The sequence below is a fragment of the Homo sapiens genome, chromosome 6 (genome assembly GCF_000001405.40).
Source record: "Homo sapiens chromosome 6, GRCh38.p14 Primary Assembly".
In the NCBI taxonomy this organism is placed as follows: Eukaryota; Metazoa; Chordata; class Mammalia; order Primates; family Hominidae; genus Homo; species Homo sapiens.
This window is the reverse complement of record NC_000006.12, coordinates 103797359-103806137: the sequence shown is the minus strand read 5'-3', so window position 1 is coordinate 103806137 and position 8779 is coordinate 103797359. Positions and strand designations below refer to the sequence as shown.

General features: G+C 37.3%; 2 annotated features.

The window, feature by feature from the left end:
* Window positions 6313-6482: an enhancer, noted in NCBI's record as "experimental_87382 CRE fragment used in MPRA reporter constructs". NCBI's record gives its function as "activates a minimal promoter by MPRAs in K562 erythroleukemia cells, with activity observed for both the introgressed and non-introgressed 6:104247616 variant alleles {active_cell/tissue: K562}" and the evidence as "EXISTENCE:reporter gene assay evidence [ECO:0000049][PMID:34662402]".
* Window positions 8053-8554: an enhancer, noted in NCBI's record as "NANOG hESC enhancer chr6:104245459-104245960 (GRCh37/hg19 assembly coordinates)". NCBI's record gives its function as "activates a minimal SCP1, AML or CMV promoter by ChIP-STARR-seq in primed H9 embryonic stem cells {active_cell/tissue: H9 hESC(primed)}" and the evidence as "EXISTENCE:reporter gene assay evidence [ECO:0000049][PMID:30033119]".

Here is an 8779-nt window from a genome sequence, read left to right as displayed (position 1 = left end):
ACTTTGCTGAAGTTGCTTATCAGCTTAAGGAGATTTTGAGCTGAGACGATGGGGTTTTCTAAATATACAATCATGTCATCTGCAAACAGGGACAATTTGACTTCCTCTTTTCCTAACCAAATCCCCTTTATTACTTTCTCCTGCCTGATTGCCCTTGCCAGAACTTCCAACACTATGTTGAATAGGAGTGGTGAGAGAGGGCATCCCTGTCTTGTGCCCATTTTCAAAGGGAATGCTTCCAGTTTTTGCCCATTCAGTATGATATTGGCTGTGGGTTTGTCATAAATAGCTCTTATTATTTTGAGATACGTCCCATCAATACCTAATTTATTGAGAGTTCTTAGCATGAAGGGCTGTTGAATTTTCAAAGGCCTTTTCTACATCTATTGAGAAAATCATGTGGTTTTTGTCTTTGGTTCTGTTTATATGATGGATTACGTTTATTGATTTATATATGTTGAACCAGACTTGCATCCCAGGGATGAAGCCCACTTGATCCTGGTGGATAAGCTTTTTGATGTGCTGCTGGATTCGGTTTGCCAGTATTTTATTGAGCATTTTGCTTTGATGTTCATCACGGATATTGGTCTAAAATTCTCCTTTTTTGTTGTGTCTCTGCCAGTCTTTGGTATCAGGATGATGCTGGCCTCATAAAATGAGTTAGGGAGGAATCTCTCTTTTTCTATCGATTGGAATAGTTTCAGAAGGAATGGTACCAGTTCCTCTTTGTAACTCTGGTAGAATTCGGCTGTGAATCTGTCTGGTCCTGGACATTTTTTGGTTGGTATGCTATTAATTATTGCCTCAATTTCAGAGCCTGTTATTGGTCTATTCAGGGATTCAACTTCTTCCTGATTTAGTCTTGGGAGGGTGTATGTGTCCAGGAATTTATCCATTTCTTCTAGATTTTCTAGTTTATTTGCATAGAGGTGTTTATAGTATTCTCTGATGGTAGTGTATATTTCTGTGGGATCGGTGGTGATATCCCCTTTATCATTTTTTATTGCATCTATTTGATTCTTCTCTCTTTTCTTCTTTGTTAGTCTTGCTAGCGGTCTATCAGTTTTGTTGATCTTTTCAAAAAACCAGCTCCTGGAATCATTGATTTTTTGAAGGGATTTTAGGTTTCTATCTCCTTCAGTTCTGCTCTGATCTTAGTTATTTCTGGCCTTCTGCTTTGAATATGTTTGCTCTTGCTTCTCTGTTTCTTTTCATTGTGATTTTAGGATGTTGACTTTAGATCTTTCCTGCTTTCTCTTGTGGGCATTTAGTGCTATAAATTTCCCTCTACACACTGCTTTAAATGTATCCCAGAGATTCTGGTATGTTGTGTCTTTGTTCTCATTGGTTTCAGAGAACATCTTAATTTCTGCCTTCATTTCGTTATTTACCCAGTAGTTATTCAGGAGCAGGTTGTTCAGTTTCCATGCAGTTGTGCAGTTTTGAGTGAGTTTCTTAATCCTGAGTTCTAATTTGATTGACTGTGGTCTGAGAGATAGTTTGTTATAATTTCCATTCTTTTACATTTGCTGAGGAGTGCTTTACTTCCAACTATGTGGTCAATTTTGAAATAAGTGTGATGTGGTACTGAGAAGAATGTATATTCTGTTGATTTGGGGTGGAGAGTTCTGTAGATGTCTGTTAAGCCCACTTGGTCCAGAGCTGAGTTCAAGTCCTGGATATCCTTGTTAACTTTCTGCCTCGTTGATCTGTCTAATGTTGACAGTGGGGTGATAAAGTCTCCCATTATTATTGTGTGGGAGGCTAAGTCTCTTTGTAGGTCTCTAAGGACTTGCTTTATGAATCTGGGTGCTCCTGTATTGGGTGCATATATATTTAGGATAGTTAGCTTTTCTTGTTGAATTGATCCCTTTACCATTATGTAATGGCCTTCTTTGTCTCTTTTGATCTTTGTTGGTTTAAAGTCTGTTTTATCAGAGACTAGGATTGCAATCCTGCTTTTTTTTTTTGTTTTCCACTTGCTTTGTAAATTTTCCTCCGTCCCTTTATTTTGAGCCTATGTATGTCTCTGCATGTGAGATGGGTCTCCTGAAGAGAGCACACCAGTGGATCTTAACTCTTTATTCAATTTGCCAGTCTGTGTCTTTTAATTGGGGCATTTACATTTAAGGTTAATATTGTTATGTGTGAATTTGATCCTGTCATTACAATGTTAGTTGGTTATTTTGCTCATTAGTTGATGCAGTTTCTTCCTAGCATCCATGGTCTTTACAATTTGGAATGCTTTTGCAGTAGTTGGTAGTGGTTGTTCCTTTCCATGTTTAGTGCTTCCTTCAGGAGCTCTTGTAAGGTAGGCCTGGTGGTGACAAAATCTCTCAGAATCTGCTTGTCTGTAAATGATTTTATTTCTCCTTCACTTATGAAGCTTAGTTTGGCTGGATATGAAATTCTGGGTTGAAAATTGTTTTCTTTAAGAATGTTGAATATTGGCCCCCACTCTCTTCTGGCTTGTAGAGTTTCTACTGAGAGATCCGCTGTTAGTCTGATGGGCTTCCCTTTGTGGGTAACCCGACCTTTCTCTCTGGCTGCCCTTAATATTTTTTCCTTCATTTCAACCTTGGTGAATCTGACAATTATGTGTCTTGGGGTGCTCTTCTTGAGGAGTATCTTTGTGGAGTTCTCTGTATTTCCTGAATTTGAATATTGGCCTGCCTTTCTAGGTTGGGGAAGTTCTCCTGGATAATATCCTGAAGAGTGTTTTCCAACTTGGTTCCATTCTCACCGTCACTTTCAGGTATACCAATGAGACGTAGATTTGGTCTTTTCCCATAGTCCCATATTTCTTGGAGGCTTTATTCGTTTCTTTTTACTCTTTTTTCTCTAAACTTCTCTTCTCACTTCATTTCAGTCATTTGATCTTCAATCACTGATACCCTTTCTTCCATTTGATCGAATTGGCTACTGAAACTTGTGCGTACATCACATAGGTCTCGTGCCATGTTTTTCAGCTCCATCAGGTCATTTAAGGTCGTCTCTATACTGTTCATTCTAGTTAGCCGTTCGTCTAATCTTTTTTCTATGTTTTTAGCTTCTTTGAGATGGGTTCGAACATCCTCCTTTAGCTCGGAGAAGTTTGTTATTACTGATCTTCTGAAGCCAACTTGTGTTCAACTTGTCAAAGTCATTCTTGGTCCAGCTTTGTTCCGTGGCTGGCGAGGAGCTGCGATCCTTTGGAGGAGAAGAGGCGCTCCGATTTTTAGAATTTTCAGCTTTTCTGCTCTGGTTTCTCCCCATCTTTGTGGTTTTATCTACCTTTGGTCTTTGATGCTGGTGGCCTACAGATAGGGTGTGGATGTCCTTTTTGTTGGTGTTGATGCTATTCCTTTCTGTTTGTTAGTTTTCCTCCTAACAGTCAGGACCCTCAGCTGCAGGTCTGTTGGAGTTTGCTGGAGGTTCACTCCAGACCCTGTTTGCCTGGGCATCACCAGCAGAGGCTGCAGAACAGCAAATATTGCAGAACGGTAAATGTTGCTGCCTGATCCTTCCTCTGGAAGCTTCATCTCAGAGGGGCACCCTGCTGTATGAGTTGTCAGTTGGCCCCTACTGGGAGGTGTCTCCCAGTTAGGCTACTTGGGGGTCAGGGACCCACTTGAGGAGGTGGTCTGTCCATTCTGAGATCTCAAACTCTGTGCTGGGAGAACCACTGCTCTCTTCAAAGCTGTCAGACAGAGACGTTTAAGTCTGCAGAAATTTCTGCTGCCTTTTATTCAGCTATGCCCTGCCCCCAGAGGTGGAGTCTACAGAGGCAGGCAGGCCTCTTGTTGAGCTGCGGTGGGCTCCACCCAGTTCAAGCTTCCCAGCTGCTTTGTTTACCTAGTCAAGCCTCAGCAATGGCGGATGCCCCTCCCCCAGCCTCACTGCCATGTCGCAGTTCACTCTTGGACTGCTGTGCTAGCAGTGAACAAGGCTTCGTGGGCGTGGGGCCCACTGAGCCAGCACACGATATAATCTCCTGGTGTGCTGTTTGCTAAGACTGTTGGAAAAGCACAGTATTAGGGCAGGAGTGTCCTGAGTTTCCAGGTACCATCTGTCACAGCTTCCCTTGGCTAGGAAAGGGAATTCGCTAACCCTTTGTGCTTCCCAGGTGAGGCAATGCCCCGCCCTGCTTCGGCTCATGCTCCGTGGGCTGCACCCACTGTCCTGCACCCACTGTCTGACAAGCCCCAGTGAGATGAACCCAGTATCTCAGTTAGAAATGCAGAAATCACCCTTCTTCTGTGTTGCTCATGCTGGGAGCTGTAGACTGGAGCTGTTCCTATTTGGCCAGCTGGGAATGATTTCCCATATATCTTATGGAAAATACATTCAAATTGTATTACTCTTTTGGTTATACTATCCCAACGTTGATGATTTGTACAATAAAGTGGTAATTTTGAATGTCATGGGCAAAACTTTTGTTATTGTTGTTATTTTTTTTTTTTACCTTAGATCACCAAATAATCCCTTTATTCTTTCAAAAACTGGATACATGGAATAAAGGAAATAATTAGGAATTTTGATATAATATAAATATGATACATGTTTAGTCAAAATATTGAAGCAGTATTAAAGAGAAGCAATAAATAAGTATGATGTCTTTGAAAATAAATATTTGTTATTTTAAAGTAATGCAGCACTAGTAGAGTTGTTTCTGTCTTTTTCTCAAAAAAGACTTGGAGTAATAAATTATGTGGAAAAGTGTCCTTTAGTCACTACCATTTGACTTGCTTAAACAGAGATCTTGAAGGCTATACATGAATTCATGGAATATAATTATACTTTTCTGAAACATATGTATAGAGTTTACAGCGTTTCTCGATATTTCAACAATTATATATCATTCTGCCAAAATTAGGTATATCATGCACACTTCAAATTCCATTAATTAATTAATGGGTCTATGTATTTTCATAGTTCAAAGAGACACCATTCAATAGTCCTAAAGGTATTAAAAATCGAACCATTATTCTATAAAGTTTGTATAATAGATGTATCAATGAAAAAACACATTATGTCCGGATCCCAAGAGACATGTGATTTTCAACCTTAAGTACAACGTTCAACTAGTTCTCCCATATCTATTGATTTGGGCAATTTTCCTTTTTTTCTGATTTGTGACTGTTCTGTGTTATTGCTTTTTATTAAGTTATACTTATAGAACTATGAAATGGATTTTCTTTGGAAACTTTTTCCCCACTATTTTAACTTTGAAAGAGATTCTAGCATCCCATCATATTTTTCCCCATCAAAACTGCCTGAATTAAAATTGGCAACCTAAAATTAGTTTTCTAACTATAATTTTGACTTTTTGTTTAAATAGTAATTTTCATACATTTGTAAAATTTAAAATCAATTATGTGTTTAACTATGTGAGGGGGAAGAAAATTAAAGTCACATTGTAAGTGAAGCAAATCATTGTTACCTTTTATCATGCTATGAAACGCATGCTTTGCTATATGAAATATGTGAAGAAGTTTGAAACTTTGGATAAATTGTTTTTTCCTTTGTATTCTCCCAGAAGAGCTGTCTATAGTAAAATTATAGAGCCTGGAGTGGATTTATGTAATTAGCTTGGTTGCTAGCCATCCTTCCCATAGGTCAAGCCAATTAAAGGATAACTAAGGGAGACATGGCTCCAAACAGTGGCATATGGCACAATGGCACTAATGCTCACTGGAGAGGGAAAACAAAGTCACATGGATTATAACTTTGACATAAAGTGAAATTGGATGTTGAACACTCGGAACTCAAAATCTCCCTCCCTTTTTGTTTTTACTCTGCATACATTTTTTTCTCTCTTCTGCTCAGTGTGCTCTTTAGTGAGAGGAGAGGGAGATGTGAACACTGTGATTTTAGTCACGGTATTATTTGCCACAGTGTGATTTGCCACATTGTGATCATGGTATTATTTGCCACACTGTGATCAACAATTTCCTGGGTTTGTTGTTGGTACTGGCAAAGATCCAACTGTGATGCCATGACATATGCTGGTTTGCTAAAAAATCAGCTTCCTACTTTAGAAATCTGAGCGTGCAGCCTCAGGACCCAGATAGACATTCGATGAGGACAGTCTGAAGATTAGGCAAAAACTTTGAGTAAAGTGTTAAAATAATATATGGAAGAAGCCATTTGAATTAATAATGCTAGATTGTATTTAGCGAAAATAAATAAAATTACAATCTTCACAGATTTTTCTTTACAAATTTAAGGTTAAAAGGAGAGAATTTTAGCAAATAGAAAAATAAATGGAAGTGTGGAGCTACTCACAAACACCTAGATTGTGTCAATTAATGGTTCTCAGAAGTGTTAGAAGTGTAAATTGACAGGCTCACAAATGTATAGATGTTTGTTTCTTAATTAAAAGTCCATCAACTACTGCTTCAGGATTAACTTTAGACTGCAAAACAATTTGCCATCAATTGTGATGGGGTTTCAATCCGCTCTGCAGTTTGTTCCCTTGGCCCTTTTCTTTTGCCCATTTTAAGAACTAAATTGTTGAAACTAAAGCTAAAAACAAGTAGAAAATTAAGCCATTTTAACGACATTTTAAAGGACTTTTTATTGCACGAAAAATAGCTACTTTGAAAAACTATGGATAAAATATTAGAGATTTATTTTCCTTCTGTCTCTGCTACTGACTTGCTGTGTGATTTTAAACACATTTGATTTCACCTCTATGTGCCTTAGTTTCCTTACTTGTTAAGTAATGGGAGTCTGGGAGTGGGGTGACTACATGGTCTCTGATGTTTTCTTCTACCATAAACATTCTGAGTCTAATGCACCTATTTTTACATCAGATTTCACTCTGCAGAAAAATAAAATGAAGAGTTAGGTTGAGGAGAGATTATAATAAAGTGCATATCTAGAAAAGATAATTCAGTTTTTTAAACCACAAATAGTTACTCTTTTGAACAAAGGTTGCTGTATACTATGGCATGTGGTACATCACCCCTTTACTTCAACATTTCTCCTTGAGAACTATACTAAAAGCCTTCACATCCCATGTCAGCATTCCCTCTCTATCCAAATGTCTTTATTTTCTCATTTTATATTGCCTAAATTATTTGCATTGCATAGCCATTGTTCTTTAGGGACCTACATTCAAAAGGCTGCTCTGTGCTGAATCACATTGAATTTCACCCTAGACATTTATTAATGCCTAAAAATATCAGTTTTCACATAGAAAAATTCTTTATTTAAGGACTCTTTGTGCTGACAGGCTAAGTCCCATTAAGCAATATTGTATTTTTGCTGTGAAAGATGCATAGAAATATGAGAATAATTTTCATTATTCACATATGCTGTGGCTGAATTTATAAATACTTGAAGTAAAATATACTTTTTATATTCTAATTTATTGACATCTTGTGAATTTTCAATAGATAGATAGTTCATGCTCTGGCTATTTTATTCTCCTCTAGAAATCCATAAGCAAACATGTTATTCATGAGCCTACATCTGACTATAGACTATAGATGAAAGGTTTTACCTTGTCCCCCAGTGCTGTGTACAGAGACTGAATGATATCCCTAAACTTAGTTTCTTTAAAATGCTACAAGCTAAACTAGAACTGGTAACAAGAGTATTGTAGCAGAATTATCTGTTCATTTTTTAAAATAAAGGTGGGTGTGTGAGGCTTCTGTCACATCTCTATATTTACAGTGAAAAGTCAGTTGTAGGCAGTTTGTGTTGAAAATGACAGCATTTCTATCAAGCTCTACATCAGCTGCTGCTAGCCGTAGTCAGAATTATCATCCTTCACTGGGCTGTCTTGCTTTATGATATCAATTAGCAAACAATCTGTTTTGTTGGCACATGGTACAATTAGGATGCAAAACAGAGTTACTGGGAAGCAAAACATTTTTCAGGGAAAAGGCTGTTTTGCCTATCCATGAGGAGGGGGAAATGGTATCATTTTTCTGTCTTTCAGTCTTTCTTTAATTTGACAATGATGTTAGTTTATTGACGCAAATACACGTAATAATATTATTAGTTTGGCTGTTTTTATCTTTTCCAATAATGTTAATATTTAATTTTTAAGTAATTTACAGCTTTTTTTTTTAGTTTTCACTTGTTCTAAAACTTATTTATGTTAGAACCCCTGCTTACACTCTAGAAAACATTACAAAAAAAACCAAAAACCAAAAAACAAAAAACACACACACATTCCACAAAAAGCAGAAGAGAAGGTACACTAGAGGGCACTAGTAAGCTATACTTTTTACTATTATTTTTTTTCACTTACCAATGTAATTTGCATATCTTTAGGGATGCTTTTACCACTTAATCTGATCTACTTGAGACTACTCATTTTTCTTTGTTTCTCCTTGTTTTTTTTTTTTTTTAGAAAAAAAATAAAAAAATAAAAAAGCCGAGGAAGCTCCTTTGCTATTTTTCATTGACTAGGAAAGTTCCAGACGTTTAGGTTCATTATTTTGATAAGCTTTATCCCACATGGATTGTCTGAGTGGCCTTTATACCTTTATTGAAATCCCCTGATTTGGTCCTATGACATTTCTGATGCTTTTTTGAACGAGCATCTCTACAGCTGCAAGTGATTGCTGCTTAAGCCCAGTTGTAAGGGTTTTGAGATGTACACAAATCACTTCTGGGTGTTTTCTTAAGCCACATTTAAACCCTAGTCTCCAGAGGTGAAAGGCAAGATATTAAATAATCTGCCACCTGGCTCATTCTAACATGATTGGTAGAGAAGACTAATTCATTTTCTGAAAAATAAACAAGAATAATTTTTTCTTAAAAGGTCAAATGAAATTAATGC